This window comes from Homo sapiens, chromosome 12 (genome assembly GCF_000001405.40).
Source record: "Homo sapiens chromosome 12, GRCh38.p14 Primary Assembly".
Lineage (NCBI taxonomy): Eukaryota > Metazoa > Chordata > Mammalia > Primates > Hominidae > Homo > Homo sapiens.
Window position 1 is genome coordinate 80,069,982 of NC_000012.12, and position 18,170 is coordinate 80,088,151.

The window sequence follows — 18,170 nt, forward strand, 5'->3', positions numbered from 1 at the left end:
AGTGTACTCATAAATACAAGCACAAACCCAAGCAGAAAAACCGAGCGGTAGTATTCAGTTAGAAGATCATTCAAATGATCCTCAATCTCTTTTTTAATTATCTTATTTTTATCTAAGTAAACACATGACACTAAAAAAGAATCCACAGAGAACTCTCAGACCCTGAAAAGCTTCCAAGGATCAGTTTCAGAAACAATGATTTACAGTACAGAATTTTCCCCTCAGAGACTGTAGATATTCATTAAACTAACTTCAGTAAAATTTTAGTGAAAACATATCTGATAGTCATGAAGATATTATGAGGCAGGTAAAGAATGAATACTTTAAAGAACAAAAAATGTGTTAAATGGATTTCTGGGAAACAATGCTATATGGAGCATTATTTACACCTTATAAATAATGCAATTTTCTAAATCATAATTTTTTTTTAATTTTTAATTTTTATTTTTATAGGCATGGGTTCTCACTAAGTTGGCCTGACTGGTTTTGAATTCCTGGCTTCAAGCAATCCTCTTGCCTCAGCCTCCCAAATGCCTGGGATTGCGGCTGTGAGCCACCACACCTGGCCCATAGGAATTCCTTTTAACCAATGAAATAATACTGTAATAATTTAAAAATGAGATGGCCCTGGGCACAGTGGCTCACACCTGTAATCCCAGCACTTTGGGAGGCCGAGGGGGGCAGATGACTTGACCCCAGGAGTTCGAGGCCAGCCTGGAAAACATGGCGAAACCTTGTCTCTACAAAAAATACAAAAATTAGCCAGGTGTGGTGGGGTATGCCTTAGTCCCAGCTATTTTGGAGGCTGACGCAGGAGGATCACCTGAGCCTGGGAAGTGGAGGTTGCAGTGAGCTGAGATTGCACCATGGCATTCTAGCCTGGGTGACAGAGGGAGACTGTCTCAAAAAAAAAAAAAACCCACAAAAAACAAAACAAAAACCAATAAATAACAATAAAAATGAGATGACAGATATATCACAGCCGCACAAACACTATATGTGCTTAAGAGTTTAAAAACATGTTAAGGTTCTGACTCATGTCATTCAATTTTGATCTACATTGTTGCATTTCTACAGTAAACCGAGAGTAAACTCAAATTTACTCAGTAAAATGAATCTTTAGCACTATCTTTCAAATAATCAGCAAGATATTAATGTCCTGATTTTCCATTAAGATCATTGTAGACATTATTCACCTAAGTGGGAAAACTGGAAAAATGAAAATTTGATCAGAAAATTAGGCTTTTAATTTTGATTTTAAAAAGTTTATTGCTATATGGATGCTACCATTAAGAGAAGTATTTCTACTAACATCTAATAAAAAAAGTTCCACATACAGGACGGGTGCAGTGGCTGATGCCTGTAATCCCAGAACTTTGGGAGGCTGAGGTGAGAGGATCAGTTGAGCCCGGGAGGTCAAGGCTGCAGTGAACTGTGGTCGAGCCACTGCACTCCAGCCTGGGTGACAGAATGAGACCCTGTCTCAAAAAAAATAAAAAAAATAAAAATAAAAAGTTCCACGTACAACAAAACAAATGAGAAGTAACTTCAATATCAATGATCAATGTCACTATCAATAGCATCATGACAGTAGCTAACATTTATTCGCTTTTCTGCCAAATGACAGACACATGCTAGTTGCTCTATCTGGGTTTTCTAATCGAATCCTCGCAATAACCTTGCGATTAGGTACTATTACACCCATTTTGCTGTTAAATAAGTAGGGTAGCCTGCCTGAAGTTACATGACCAGTGAATAGCACAGGTGAAATTTGAACCTGGGCAACGTGACTACTGAGCCTGTTTATGTGACCCTAGGATGAGAAGTTTCCTAAAATAGTTCACTGATTGGACCACTACGTACAAGTAAAATATTTTTTTCTGTCCCATTAATAACCCCCTTCTCAATATGGACTTCTTACACAGTTACTAGCTGAAACCATAAATAAGGCCTCCATATATTAGTATTTAGATTGAACTATTGAGAATGTCATTGCTAATAAAGTATAAAAAAGTCATTAATATCCCGTATTTAATAAATTTGCAGTTATTGAGAGTACTAATTTTTTTCATTCTCACCATTAAATATAACTTTTATTGGTGTGTCTTACATGCTCTTTATGAACTTGAGGAAGTTCCCCCCATTCCTAGTTTGCTGAGAGTTTTTTTTTTTTTTTTAATCCTTAAGTTCTGGAATACATGTGCAGAATGTGCAGGTTTGTTACATAGGTATACATGTGCCATGGTAGTTTGCTGCACCCATCAATCCATCATCCATATTAGGTATTTCTCCTAATGCTATCCCTCCCCTAGCTCCTCACCCCCCGATAAGCCCCAGTGTGTGATGATTCCCTCCCTGTGTCCATGTATTCTCATTGTTCAACTCCCACTTATGAATGAGAACATGTGGTGTTTGGTTTTCTGCTCCTGTGTTAGGTTGCTGAGAATGATGCTTTCCAGCTTCATCCATGTCCCTGCAAAGGACATGAACTCATCCTTTTTTATGGCTGCATAGTATTCCGTGGTGTATATGTGCCACATTTTCTTTATCCAGTCTATCATTGTTGGGCATTTGGGTTGGTTCCAAGTCTTTGCTATTGTGAATAGCGCCCCAGTAAAGATACGTGTTCATGTGTCTTTATAGTAGAATGATTTATAATCCTTTGGGTATAGAGCCAGTAATGGGATTGCTGGGTCAAATGCTATTTCTGGTTCTAGATCCTTGAGGAATTGCCACACTGTCTTCCACCATTTACACTCCCACCAACAGTGTAAAAGCGTTTCTATTTCTCCACATCCTCTCCAGCATCTGTTGTTTCCTGACTTTTTAATGATCACCATTGTAACTGGTGTGAGATGGTATCTCATTGTGGTTTTAATTTGCATTTCTCTAATGACAAGTTATGATGAGCTCTTTTCCATATGTTTGTTAGCTGCAAAGATGTTTTAGAGAGGTATCTGTTCATATCTTTTGGCCACTTTTTGATGGGGTTGTTTTTTTCTTGTAAATTTGTTTAGGTTCCTTGTAGATTCTGGATATTAGACCTTTGTCAGATGGATAGTTTGCAAAAATTTTCTCCCATTCTGTAGATTGCCTGTTCACTCTGAGGATAGTTTTTTTCTGTTATGCAGAAGCTCTTTAGTTGAGTTAGATCCCATTTGTCAATTTTGGCTTTTGTTGCCATCGCTTTTGGTGTTTTAGTCATGAAGTCTTTGCGCTTGCCTATGTCCTGAATGATATTGCCTAGGTTTTCTTCTAGGATTTTTATGGATTTAGGTCTTATGTTTAAGTCTTTAATCCATCTTGCGTTAATTTTTGTATAAGGTGTAAGGAAGGGGTCCAGTTTCAGTTTTCTATATACGGCTAGCCAGTTTTCCAACACCATTTATTAAATAGGGAATCCTTTCCCCATTGCTTGTTTTTGTCAGGTTTATCAAAGATCAGATGGTTGTAGATGTGTAGTGTTACTTCTGAGGCCTCTGTTCTGTTCCATTGGTCTGTATATCTGTTTTAGTACGAGTAGTATGCTGATTTGGTTACTGTAGCCTTGTAGTATAGTTCAAAGTCAGGTAGCGTGATGCCTCCAGCTTTGTTCTTTTTGCTTAGGATTGTCTTAGCTATACAGGCTCATTTTTGGTTCCATATGAAATTTGAAGTAGTTGCTTCTAATTCTGTGAAGAAAGTCAGTAGTAACTTGATGGGGATAGCACTGAATCTATAAATTACTTTGGGCAGTATGGCCATTTTCAGTATATTGATTCTTTCTATCCATGAGCATGGAATGTTTTACCATTTGTTTGTGTCCTCTCTTATTTCCTTGAGCAGTGTTTTGTAGTTCTCCTTGAAGAGGTCCTTCACATACCTTATAAGTTTTATTCCTAGTTATTTTATTCTCTGTGTAGCAATTGTGAATGGGAGTTCACTCATGATTTGGCTCTCTGTTTTTCTGTTATTGGGGTATAGGAAATCTTGTGATTTTTGCATATTGGTTTTGTATCCTGAGACTTTGCTGAAGTTGCTTATCCGTTTAAGGAGATTTGGGGCTGAGGCAATGGGCTTTTCTAAATGTACAATCATGACATCTGCAAATAGAGACAATTTGACTTCCTCTCTTCCTATTCGAATATCCTTTATTTCTTCCTCTTGCCTGATTGCCATAGCCAGAACTTCCAATACAATTTGAATAGTAGTGGGGAGAGAGGGCATCCTTGCCTTGTGCTGGTTTTCAAAGGGAATGCTTCTAGCTTTTACCCATTCACTATGATATTGGCTGTGGGTTTGTCATAAATACCTCTTATTATTTTGAGATATGTTCCATCAATACCTAGTTTATTGAGAGTTTTTAGCATGAAGGGTGTTGAATTTTGTCGAAGGCCTTTTCTGCATCTATTGAGATAATCATGTGGCTTTTGTCATTGTTTCTGTTTATGTGATGGATTACGTTTATTGATTTGCATATATTGAACCAGCCTTGCATCCCATGGGTGAAGCTGACTTGATGGTGGTGGATAAGCTTTTTGTTGTGCTGCTGGATTTGGTTTGCCAGTATTTTATTGAGGATTTTTGCATCGATGTTCATCAGGGATATTGGCCTGAAATTTTCTTTTTCTGTTGTGTCTCTGCCAGGCTTTGGTATCAGGATATGTTGTCCTCATAAAATGAGTTAGGGAGGATTCCCTCTTTTTCTTTTTTTTTATTTATTAATTATTATACTTTAAGTTTTAGGGTACATGTGCACAACGTGCAGGTTAGTTACATATGTATACATGTGCCATGCTGGTGTACTGCACCCACTAACTCGTCATCTAGCATTAGGTATATCTCCCAATGCTATCCCTCCCCCCTCCCCCCACCCCACAACAGTCCCCAGAGTGTGATGTTCCCCTTCCTGTGTCCATGTGTTCTCATTGTTCAATTCCCACCTATGAATGAGAATATGTGGTGTTTGTTTTTTTGTCCTTGCGATAGTTTACTGAGAATGATGATTTCCAATTTCATCCATGTCCCTACAAAGGACATGAACTCATCAATTTTTATGGCTGCATAGTATTCCATGGTGTATATGTGCCACATTTTCTTAATCCGGTCTATCATTGTTGGACATTTGGGTTGGTTCCAAGTCTTTGCTATTGTGAATAGTGCTGCAATAAACATACGTGTGCATGTGTCTTTGTAGCAGCATGATTTATAGTCCTTTGGGTATATACCCAGTAATGGCATGGCTGGGTCAAATGGTATTTCTAGTTCTAGATCCCTGAGGAATCGCCACACTGACTTCCACAATGGTTGAACTAGTTTACAGTCCCACCAACAGTGTAAAAGTGTTCCTATTTCTCCACATCCTCTCCAGCACCTGTTGTTTCCTGACTTTATAATGATTGCCATTCTAACTGGTGTGAGATGATATCTCATTGTGGTTTTGATTTGCATTTCTCTGATGGCCAGTGATGATGAGCATTTTTTCATGTTTTTTGGCTGCATAAATATCTTCTTTTGAGAAGTGTCTGTTCATGTCCTTCGCCCACTTTTTGATGGGGTTGTTTGTTTTTTTCTTGTAAATTTGTTTGAGTTCATTGTAGATTCTGGATATTAGCCCTTTGTCAGATGAGTAGGTTGCGAAGATTTTCTCCCATTTTGTAGGTTGCCTGTTCACTCTGATGGTAGTTTCTTTTGCTGTGCAGAAGCTTTTTAGTTTAATTAGATCCCATTTGTCAATTTTGGCTTTTGTTGCCATTGCTTTTTGTGTTTTAGACATGAAGTCCTTGCCCATGCCTATGTCCTGAATGGTAATGCCTAGGTTTTCTTCTAGGGTTTTTATGGTTTTAGATCTAATGTTTAAGTCTTTAATCCATCTTGAATTGATTTTTGTATAAGGTGTAAGGAAGGGATCCAGTTTCAGCTTTCTACATATGGCTAGCCAGTTTTCCCAGCACCATTTATTAAATAGGGAATCCTTTCCCCATTGCTTGTTTTTCTCAGGGTTGTCAAAGATCAGATAGCTGTAGATATATGGCGTTATTTCTGAGGGCTCTGTTCTGTTCCATTGATCTATATCTCTGTTTTGGTACCAGTACCATGCTGTTTTGTTTACTGTAGCCTTGTAGTATAGTTTGATGTCAGGTAGTGTGATGCCTCCAGCTTTGTTCTTTTGGCTTAGGATTGACTTGGCGATGCAGGCTCTTTTTTGGTTCCATATGAACTTTAAAGTAGTTTTTTCCAATTCTGTGAAGAAAGGCATTGGTAGCTTGATGGGGATGGCATTGAATCTGTAAATTACCTTGGGCAGTATGGCCATTTTCACGATATTGATTCTTCCTACCCATGAGCATGGAATGTTCTTCCATTTGTTTGTATCCTCTTTTGTTTCATTGAGCAGTGGTTTGTAGTTCTCCTTGAAGAGGTCCTTCAGGTCCCTTGTAAGGTGGATTCCTAGGTATTTTACTCTCTTTGAAGCAATTGTGAATGGGAGTTCACTCATGATTTGGCTCTCTGTTTGTCTGTTGTTGGTGTATAAGAATGCTTGTCATTTTTGTACATTGATTTTGTATCCTGAGACTTTGCTGAAGTTGCTTATCAGCTTAAGGAGATTTTGGGCTGAGACAATGGGGTTTTCTAGATACACAATCATGTCGTCTGCAAACAGGTACAATTTGAGTTCTTCTTTTCCTAATTGAATACCCTTTATTTCCTTCTCCTGCCTAATGGCCCTGGCCAGAATTCCAACAGTATATTGAATAGGAGTGGTGAGAGAGGGCATCCCTGTCTTGTGCCAGTTTTCAAAGGGAATGCTTCCAGTTTTTGCCCATTCAGTATGATATTGGCTGTGGGTTTGTCATAGATAGCTCTTATTATTTTGAGATATGTCCCATCAATATCTAATTTATTGAGAGTTTTTAGCATGAAGGGTTGTTGAATTTTGTCAAAGGCTTTTTCTGCATCTATTGAGATAATCATGTGGTTTTTGTCTTTGGCTCGGTTTATATGCTGGATTACATTTATTGATTTGCGTATATTGAACCAGCCTTGCATCCCAGGGATGAAGCCCTCTTGATCATGGTGGATAAGCTTTTTGATGTGCTGCTGGATTCGGTTTGCCAGTATTTTATTGAGGATTTTTGCATCAATGTTCATCAAGGATATTGGTCTAAAATTCTCTTTTTTGGTTGTGTCTCTGCCCGGCTTTGGTATCAGGATGATGCTGGCCTCATAAAATGAGTTAGGGAGGATTCCCTCTTTTTCTATTGATTGGAATAGTTTCAGAAGGAATGGTATCAGTTCCTCCTTGTACCTCTGGTAGAATTCAGCTGTGAATCCATCTGGTCCTGGACTCTTTTTGGTTGGTAAGCTATTGATTATTGCCACAATTTCAGCTCCTGTTATTGGTCTATTCAGAGATTCAACTTCTTCCTGGTTTAGTCTTGGGAGAGTGTGTGTATCAAGGAATTTATCCATTTCTTCTAGATTTTCTAGTTTATTTGCATAGAGGTGTTTGTAGTAATCTCTGATGGTAGTTTGTATTTCTGTGGGATCGGTGGTGATACCCCCTTTATCATTTTTTATTGCATCTATTTGATTCTTCTCTCTTTTTTTCTTTATTAGTCTTGCTAGTGGTCTATCAATTCTGTTGATTCTTTCAAAAAACCAGCTCCTGGATTCATTAATTTTTTGAAGGGTTTTTTGTGTCTCTATTTCCTTCAGTTCTGCTCTGATTTTTGTTATTTCTTGCCTTCTGCTAGCTTTTGAATGTGTTTGCTCTTGCTTTTCTTGTTCTTTTAATTGTGATGTTGGGGTGTCAATTTTGGATCTTTCCTGCTTTCTCTTGTGGGCATTTAGTGCTATAAATTTCCCTCTACACACTGCTTTGAATGTGTCCCAGATATTCTGGTATGTTGTGTCTTTGTTCTCATTGGTTTCAAAGAACATCTTTATTTCTGCCTTCATTTCGTTATGTCCCCAGTAGTCATTCAGGAGCAGATTGTTCAGTTTCGATGTAGTTGAGCAGTTTTGAGTGAGTTTCTTAATGCTGAGTTCTAGTTTGATTGCACTGTGGTCTGAGAGATAGTTTGTTATAATTTCTGTTTTTTTACATTTGCTGAGGAGAGCTTTACTTCCAACTATGTGGTCAATTTTGGAATAGGTGTGGTGTGGTGCTGAAAAAAAATGTATATTCTGTTGATTTGGGGTGGAGAGTTCTGTAGATGTCTATTGGGTCCGCTTGGTGCAGAGCTGAGTTCAATTCCTGGGTATCCTTGTTAACTTTCTGTCTCCTTGATCTGTCTAATGTTGACAGTGGGGAGTTAAAGTCTCCCATTATTAATGTGTGGGAGTCTAAGTCTCTTTGTAGGTCACTCAGGACTTGCTTTATGAATCTAGGTGCTCCTGTATTGGGTGCATATATATTTAGGATAGTTAGCTCTTCTTGTTGAATTGATCCCTTTACCATTATGTAATGGCCTTCTTTGTCTCTTTTGATCTTTATTGGTTTAAAGTCTGTTTTATCAGAGACTAGGATTGCAACCCCTGCCTTTTTTTGTTTTCCATTTGCTTGGTAGATCTTCCTCCATCCTTTTATTTTGAGCCTATGTGTGTCTCTGCATGTGAGATGGGTTTCCTGAATACAGCACACTGATGGGTCTTGACTCTTTATCCAATTTGTCAGCCTGTGTCTTTTAATTGGAGCATTTAGTCCATTTACATTTAAAGTTAATATTGTTTGTGTGAATTTGATCCCGTCATTATGATGTTAGCTGGTGATTTTGCTCGTTAGTTGATGCAGTTTCTTCCTAGTCTCGATGGTCTTTACCTTTTGGCTAATTTTGCAGTGGCTGGTACCGGTTGTTCCTTTCCATGTTTAGTGCTTCCTTCAGGAGCTCTTTTAGGGCAGGCCTGGTGGTGACAAAATCTCTCAGCATTTGCTTGTCTGTAAAGTATTTTATTTCTCCTTCACTTATGAAGCTTAGTTTGGCTGGATATGAAATTCTGAGTTGAAAATTATTTTCTTTAAGAATGTTGAATATTGGCCCCCACTCTCTTCTGGCTTGTAGAATTTCTGCCGAGAGATCCGCTGTTAGTCTGATGGGCTTCCCTTTGTGGGTAACCCAACCTTTCTCTCTGGCTGCCCTTAACATTTTTTCCTTCATTTCAACTTTGGTGAATCTGACAATTATGTGTCTTGGAGTTGCTCTTCTCGAGGAGTATCTTTGTGGCGTTCTCTTTATTTCCTGAATCTGAATGTTGGCCTGCCTTGCTAGATTGGAGAAGTTCTCCTGGATAATATCCTGCAGAGTGTTTTCCAACTTGGTTCCATTCTCCCCATCAGTTTCAGGTACACCAATCAGACATCGACTTGGTCTTTTCACATAGTCCCATATTTCTTGGAGGCTTTGTTTGTTTCTTTTTATTCTTTTTTCTCTAAACTTCCCTTCTCGCTTCATTTCATTCATTTCATCTTCCATCACTGATACCCTTTCTTCCAGTTGATTGCATCAGCTCCTGTGGCTTCTGCATTCTTCACGTAGTTCTCGAGCCCTGGGTTTCAGCTCCATCAGCTCCTTTAAGCACTTCTCTGTATTGGTTATTCTAGTTATACATTTGTGTAAATTTTTTTCAAGTTTTTAACTTCTTTGCCTTTGGTTTGAATTTCCTCCTGTGGCTCGTAGTTTGATCGTCTGAAGCCTTCTTCTCTCAACTTGTCAAAGGCGTTCTCCATCCAGCTTTGTTCCATTGCTGGTGAGGAACTGCATTCCTTTGGAGGAGGAGAGGTGCTCTGCTTTTTAGAGTTTCCAGTTTTTCTGCTCTGTTTTTTCCCCATCTTTGTGGTTTTATCTGCTTTTGGTCTTTGATGATGGTGATGTACAGATGGGTTTTTGGTGTCAATGTCCTTTCTGTTTGTTAGTTTTCCTTCTAACAGACAGGACCCTCAGCTGCAGGTCTGTTGGAGTTTGCTAGAGGTCCACTCCAGACCCTGTTTGCCTGGGTATCAGCAGCAGTGTTTGCAGAACAGTGGTTTTTCGTGAACCGCGAATGCTGCTGTCTGATTGTTCCTCTGGAAGTTTTGTCTCAGAGGAGTACCAGGCCGTGTGAAGTGTCCATCTGCCCCTACTGGGGGGTGTCTCCCAGTTAGGCTGCTCAGGGGTCAGGGGTCAGGGACCCACTTGAGGAGGCAGTCTGCCCGTTCTCAGATCTCCAGCTGCGTGCTGGGAGAACCACTGCTCTCTTCAAAGCTGTCAGACAGGGACATTTAAGTCTGCAGAGGTTACTGCTGTCTTTTTGTTTGTCTGTGCCCTGCCCCCAGAGGTGGAGCCTACAGAGGCAGGCAGGACTCCTTGAGCTGTGGTGGGCTCCACCCAGTTGGAGCTTCCAGGCTGCTTTGTTTACCTAAGCAAGCCTGGGCAATGGCGGGTGCCCCTCCCCCAGCCTGGCTGCCGCCTTGCAGTTTGATCTCAGACTGCTGTGCTAGCAATCAGCGAGACTCTGTGGGCGTAGGACCCTCCGAGCCAGGTGTGGGATATAATCTCCTGGTGCGCCTTTTTTTCAGCCCGTCGGAAAAAGCGCAGTATTCGGGTGGGAGTGACCTGATTTTCCAGGTGCTGTCTGTCACCCCTTTCTTTATCTAGGAAAGGGAACTCCCTGACCCCTTGTGCTTCCTGAGTGAGGCAATGCCTTGCCCTGCTTCAGCTCCTGCATGGTGTGCTGCACCCACTGACCTGCGCCCACTGTCTGGCACTCCTAGTGAGATGAACCCAGTACCTGAGATGGAAATGCAGAAATCACCCGTCTTTTGCGTCGCTCACGCTGGGAGCTGTACACTGGAGCTGTTCCTATTTGGCCATCTTGGCTCCTCCCCCCCGCCTTTTTCTATTGATTGGAATAGTTTCAGAAGAAATGGTACCAGCTCCTCTTTGGACCTCTGGTAGAATTCGGCTGTGAATCTGTCTGGTCCTGGACTTTTTTTGGTTGGTAGGCTATTAATTACTGCCTCAATTTCAGAACTTGTTATTGGTCTATTCAGGGATTTGACTTCCATGTTTAGTCTTGGGTGGGTATATATGTCCCAAAATTTATCCATTTCTTCTAGATTTTCTAGTGTTTTGCATAGAAGTGTTTATAGTATTCTCTGAGGGTAGTTTGTATTTCTGTGGGATCAGTGGTGATATCCCCTTTATCATTTTTTATTGTGTCTATTTGATTTTCTCTCTTTTCTTCCTTGTTATTCTGGCTAGCAGTCCATCTACTTTGTTAATGTTTTCAAAAAAACAGCTCCAGGATTCATTGATTTTTCGAAGGGTTTTTCATGTCTTTATCTCCTTCAGTTCTCTGATCTTAGTTATTTCTTGTCTTCTGCTGGCTTTTGCATTTGTTTGCTCTTGCTTCTTTGGTTCTTTTAATTGTGATGTTAGGGTATCGATTTTAGATCTTTCCTGCTTTCTCCTGTGGGCATTTAGTGCTATAAATTTCCCTGTAAACACTGCTTTAGCTGTGTTCCAGAAATTCTGGTACATTGTGTCTTTGTTCTCATTGGGTTCAAAGAACTTATTTATTTCTGCCTTAATTTCATTATTTACCCAGTAGTCATTCAGGAGCAGGTTGTTCAGTTTCCGTGTAGCTGTGCAGTTTTGATTGAGTTTCTTAATGCTGAGTTCTAATTTGATTGCAATGTGGTGTGAGAGACTATTTGTTATGATTTCTGTTCTTTTGCATTTGCTGAGGAGTGTTTTACTTCCAATTATGTGGTCAATTTTAGAATAAGTGTGATGTGGTGCTGAGAAGAGTGTATATTCTGTTGATTTGGGGTTGAGAATTCTGTAGATGTCTATTAGGTCTGCTTTGTCTAGAGCTGAGTTCAAGTCCTGAATATCCTTGTTAATATTTTGTCTCACTGATCTAATATTGACAGTGTGTGAGTACTATTATTGTGTGGGAGTCTAAGTCTCTTTGTAGGTCTCTAAGAACTTGCTTTATGAATCTGGGTGCTCCTGTATTGGGTGCATATATATTTAGGATAGTTAGCTCTTCTTGTTGCATTGATTCCTTTACCATTATGTAGTGCCCTTCTTTGTCTTTTTTGATCTTTATTGGTTGAAAGTCTGTTTTATCAGAGAATAGAATTGCAAGTCCTCCTTTCTTTTGCTTTCCATTTGCTTGGTAAATCTGCCTCCATCCCTTTGTTTTGAGCCTATATGTGTCTTTGCACGTGAGATGGGTCTCCTGAATACAGCACACCGATGGGTCCTGACTCTTTATCCAATTTGTCAATGTGTCTTTTAATTGGGGCATTTGACCCGTTTACAATTAAGATTAATATTGTTATATGTGAATTTCATCTTTATGATGCTAGTTGGTTATTTTGCCCATTAGTTGATGCAGTTTCTTCATAGTCTCAATGGTCTTCACACTTTGGTTTGTTTTTGCCGTGGCTGGTGCCAGTTTTTCCTTTCCATATTTAGTGCTTCCTTCAGGAGCTCTTGTAAGGCAGGCCTGGTGGTGACAAAATCTCTCAGCATTTGCTTGTCTGTAAAGGATTTTATTTCTCCTTTGTTTATGAAGCTTAGTTTGGCTGGATATGAAATTCTGGGTTGAAATTTCTTTTCTTTAAGAATGTTGAATATTGGCCCCCACTCTCTTCTGGCTTGTAGGGTTTCTGCATAGAGATCCACTGTTAGTCTGATGGGCTTCCATTTGTGGGTAACCCGACCTTTCTCTGTGGCTGTCCTTAACAATTTTTCCTTAATTTCAACCTTGGTGGATCTGATGATTATGTGTCTTGGGGTTGTTCTTCTCAAGGAGTGTCTTTGTGGTGTTCTCTGTATTTCCTGAATTTGAATGTTGGCCTGTTTTGCTAGGTTAGGGAAGTTCTCCTGGATAATATTCCAAAGAGTGTTTTCAAACTTGTTTCCATTCTCCCTGTTACTTTCAGGTACACCAATCAAACATAGGTTTGGTCTTTTCACATAGTCCCACATTTGTTGGAGGCTTTGTTTGTTCCTTTTTATTCTTTTTTCTCTAATCTTGTCTTCATGCTTTATTTCATTAAGTTGATTTTCAGTGTCTGACATCCTTTCTTCCACTTGATTGATTCAGATGTTGATACTTGTGTGTGCTTCATGAAATTCTTGTGCTGTGTTTTTCAGCTTCATCAGGTCATTTATGTTCTTCTCTAAACTGGTTATTCTAGTTAGCAATTCCTCTAACCTTTTTTCAAGGTTCTTAGCTTTCTTGCATTGGGTTAGAACATGCTACTTTAGCTGAGAGGAGTTTGTTATTACTCACCTTCTGAAGCCTACTTCTGTCAATTTATCAAACTCATTCTCTGTCCAGTTTTGTTCTCTTGCTGGTGAGGAGTTGTGATCCTTTGGAGAAGAAGAGGCATTCTGGTTTTTGGAATTTTCCACCTTTTTGTGGTGGTTTTTCCTCATCTTCATTAATTTATCTACCTTTGGTCTTCGATGTTGGTGACCTTTGGATGGGGTTTCTGTGTGGATGTCCTTTTTGTTGATGTTGATGCTATTCCTTTCTGTTTGTAATTTTTCCTTCTAACAGTCAGAACCCTCTTCTGTAGGTCTGCTGGAGTTTGCTGGAGGTCCACTCCAGATCCTGTTTTCCTGGGTATCACCAGCAGAGTCTTCAGAACAGCCAAGATTGTTGCCTGTTCTTTCCTCTGGAAGCTTCGTCCCAGAGGTGCACCTGCCAGATGCCAGCCAGAGCTCACCTGTATGAGGTGTGTATTGACCCCTGCTGGGAGGTGTCTCCCAGCCAGGAGGCACAGGGGTCAGGGACCCACTTGTGGAGGCAGCCTGTCCCGTAGCAGAGCTGGAGCACTGTGCTGGGAGTTTTGCTGCTCTCTTCAGAGCCACCAGGCAGTAACGTTTAAATCTGCAGAAGCTGTGCCCATAGCCGCCTGTTCCTTCGGGTGCTCTGTCCCAGGGAGATGGGAGTTTTATCTATAAGCCCCTGACTGGGGCTGCTGTCTTTCTTTCAGAGATGCCCTGCCCAGAGAGGAGGAATCTAGAGAGGCAGTCTGGCTACAGAGGCTTTGCGGAGCAGCAGTGGTCTCCACCCAGTTCGAACTTCCTGGTGGCTTTGTTTACATCGTGAGGGGAAAACCCGCCTAGGCAAACCTCAGTAGTGGCAGACACCCCTCCCCCGACCAAGCTCGAGTGTCTCAGGTTGACTTCAGACTGCTGTGCTGGCAGCAAGAATTTCAAGCCAGTGGATCTTAGCTTGCTGGGCTCTGTGGGGGTGGGATCCACTGAGCTAGACCACTTGGCTCCCTGGCTTCATCCCCCTTTCCAGGGGAGTGAACGGTTCTGTCCTGCTGGCAGTCCAGGTGCTGCTGGGTATGAAAATAAACTCCTGCAGCTAGCTTGGTATCTGCACAAATGGCCACTCAGTTTTGTGCTTGAAACCCAGGGCCCTGGTGGTGTAGGCACCCGAGTGAATCTCCTGGTTTGCAGATTGTGAAGACCATGGGAAAAGCATAGTATCTGGGCCAGAGTGCACCATTCCTCAAGCACAGTCCCTCAAGGCTTCCTTTGGCTAGGGGAGGGAGTTCCCTGACCCCTTGCACTTCCCACCTGCTCCCCACCCTGCTTCAGTTCGCCCTCCATGGGCTGCACCCACTGCCTAACCAGTCCCATGAGATGAACCGGGTACCTCAGTTGGAAATGCAGAAATCACCCACCTTCTGTGTTGATCTTGCTGGGAGCTGCAGACTGGAGCTGTTCCTATTTGGCCATCTTGCCTAATCTCTAAATTCCAAGAGTACCAATCTTTTTTTTTTTTTTTTTTTTTGAGATGGAGTCTTGCTCTGTCTTCAGGCTGGAGTGCTGTGGTGTGACCTCAGCTCACTGCAACCTCTGCCTCCCAGATTCAAGCAATTCCCCTGCCTCAGCCTCCCAAGCAGCTGGGATTACAGGCGCCCACCACCATGCCCAGCTAATTTTTTTAGTATTTAGTAGAGACAGGATTTCACCATGTTGGCCAGGATAGCCTCAGTCTCCTGACCTCGTGATCTGCCCGCCTCGGCCTCCCAAAGTGCTGGGATTACAGGCGTGAGCCATAGTGCCTGGCTAGTACTAATCTTAATGAAAGGGAACTACTCCATACATTTGGCAAATCAAAGTTACACAGATAATTAAAATGAATCAGTTATTCTTTTATAGATCAATTTTTTGTTAAAATTTTACATAAAAAATTAACTTTGGACCTCGAACTACCAACTGTGTGATGAATTCGTCCTTTGTCTGAAATTGTTTCTTCTTTAAAACATTAACCAGAAGCAGTGCAGTTTTGGATGCTGAAAGCAAACATGGAATGCATATATTTCATGTAGTCTCGCAAAGAAGAATTGTCAACAAGACCAACCATACAACTAAATAAGGTGGCATTGAAAACATTGAATATAATATATCAACAAAGTAATTTTGAATTGTCTTAAATTCCAGGATGGAAATAAGCAAGTGGAACATCATGTCTGTTCTCTCCTGGTGAATATGTATTTTTAAACAAAACAAAAAGAAAAAAATGAACAATAGCACTGTACTTACTCAGCTTTGTAATTTTTATTTTTTTAATCTATGGGAGATGTGTAAACTCTTAAAGGTCACGAGATAGAAAGGAGGGCAAGACATTTGTGTCATATTAATAACATTTTTTTGTTTATAAAAATAAACTGTGATCCTTATATCCTTATTATAAAAATAAACTGTGAAAAAAAATTTCAACAATACAGAAATATATTTAAAGGGAAAAATATCCTGTAATTCTATTTTAGTTTGTAAAATCTTAGATTTTCCCTCTGCAGATAGTAATATGGAATGTATGCCACATCCATAGTTATAGGTAAATATCTTAAGTAAATATACTCTTCTATATTTACATATACATTTTTTAGCAACAAAAATGAGATTATTTTTGCTCTTTGCAACCTTTTTTTAAATTGTAACAGTATATCTTGGACATCTTTCAGCGACATTACATGATTTCCCCCAGGGGCAGCGCACTATTCCATTGTACCATAATCTGTGTAACTAATCCTTTACTGGTGATATTGGGGTTGTTTCCAGTTTTCTGCCATCATGACAACTGCAGTAAATATACTTGTATATATTAAGTTTGATAGAACTTAGTGACTGTATCAGTCAGCATAGGCTAAGTTATGCTTTATTAGCAAGCAGACCTAAAGTCTCAGACGCTTGAGACAACGTAAGTGCCTTTCATGTTTATGCAAAGCACTCTGCGGGTTTAGGTGACACTTCAGAGAAGTTGCCCTCCATGTGTTGGCTCAGTATTAGGGGGTGCTCTGATCTTGTGACTCATCCAAGTCAACAAGTACTTTTATGATTACTGTGACAGGAGAAGAATGAACTAGAAAGTCAGGCACTGGCAATTGAATCCTTTTGGAAAATCACTTTTGCAACCATATTATTAACCTAAGGAACTAATATGGTCATGCCTCACTCTCATAGAATTGTGAAATGCGGCTGTTCTATGTGCATGTAGTAGAGGAGATTTGAATGCTAGCAAATAGTCGAAATGACTACCATAGTGATTGATTCACTGATTGTGGACAGTGAGATGGGAGTCCAAGATATCAAAGAGTTTTTGAACTTAAGTAAGTGAGCATAGGAATGCCATTAATTAGATCCCAGGGTTCATCTGGAAATGGTCAGTTAACTAAGATAGAACACAGAATGTGGGAAGAGATGGGGATCAGAAATTATACCTGCTCCTGGACTGGAAGAATTGCCTCAGCAACTACCTGCTGTGGTCAGAGATTTTTAGTCTGGAGAACAAAATGTAATTTTGAAGGGGAAGCTGCAATTTCAGTCATAAGGTAGGCAAATAGCTTGCAGCAACAAAAAGGTGAATATAAAGTCCTGTTATCTCAACAGGTAGTTGGACATCAGGAATGGAAGTAAAAAGTTGACGACACTTAGAATTTCAGTCTTAAAATTGGCCTTGGAGAGTGAAATGGTTCAAGGTGCCAGGATGGGATTCAGGATCAGAAATGCAATACCTCTGGGGGATATAACAAGACTGGTACATTGGTTCTCAAAATTTATGTGTATCTAGTGCACTTTCTAATGCTAGAAAAGATTTAAAGATGAATATTACCTTTAAAAAGGAGGTATCTTTGGAAAATTGAAAACATTATATGCTCATGTATTGCTCATATCCATAGGTATACTTTCACACTGAGGATCTGTTTGAATAGAGTCATTTACTGTCCTAAATGTCATCTCCTATATTAAAATGCCATAGAGATCCCAAAACTATGTACATCTAGTATGCATCAAAAAAATTAAAAAAATAAAATGCTAAAGAGGCACTTGTCTTTTTACTACTCTTCAACTGTTACCCTGTCTCTCATACTCTTCATAGGCAATTGTTACCTCTTGACTCTTTTTTACAAAGAAGATTTTTAAACCATTTATTGATTTAGAAAGTAGGGCTTTTAATTAATTTTAATTAAACATATTTGCTGAGATAATTCATATGGCATAAGATTCACATTTTAATGATATTTAATTACATTAATCACATTTAATGATATTCAATATTTTTCATATATTCACAGAGCTGTGCAGCCATCACCACAATCTATTTTAGAACATTTTCATCACCCCAGAAAGAAGCCCTGTATCAATTAGCTGTCATTCCCCTCACCCACTAGGCCCCGGAAACCACTAATAAACTTTCTGTCTCTATGAATTTGCCTATTCTGGACATGTTAAGGAAATGAAATCATATACTATGTAGTCGTTTGTGTCTGATTTCTTGGAATTACGTTTTCAAGTTCATTCATATTGTTGTATGAATCAGTACTCATTTCTTTTTATGGCTGAAAAATATTCCATTGTATGGACATACTACATTTTGTTTACTTATCAGTTGGTGAATATTTGAGTTGGTTTCAGCTATTAATAATAATCTTTCTATGAAAATTCATGTACAAGTTTTTGTGTGGACATATATGTTCATTTATCTTGGGTATATTCCTAGGAGTAGAATTGCTGAGTCATATGACAACTAAAATTTTGAAGAACTACCAAATTGCTGAGTCACATGAAAACTAACATTTTGAAGAACTACGAAACCGTTTTTCAAAGCGGTTGCAATGTTTTACAATCCCACCAGCAATGCATAAGGGTTCCAATTTCTCCGCATTT

The 18,170-nt window shown here is 39.8% G+C and overlaps 1 annotated feature.

Moving 5' to 3' along the window:
• Positions 13,300-13,841: an enhancer, noted in NCBI's record as "H3K27ac-H3K4me1 hESC enhancer chr12:80477061-80477602 (GRCh37/hg19 assembly coordinates)". NCBI's record gives its function as "activates a minimal SCP1, AML or CMV promoter by ChIP-STARR-seq in naive H9 embryonic stem cells {active_cell/tissue: H9 hESC(naive)}" and the evidence as "EXISTENCE:reporter gene assay evidence [ECO:0000049][PMID:30033119]".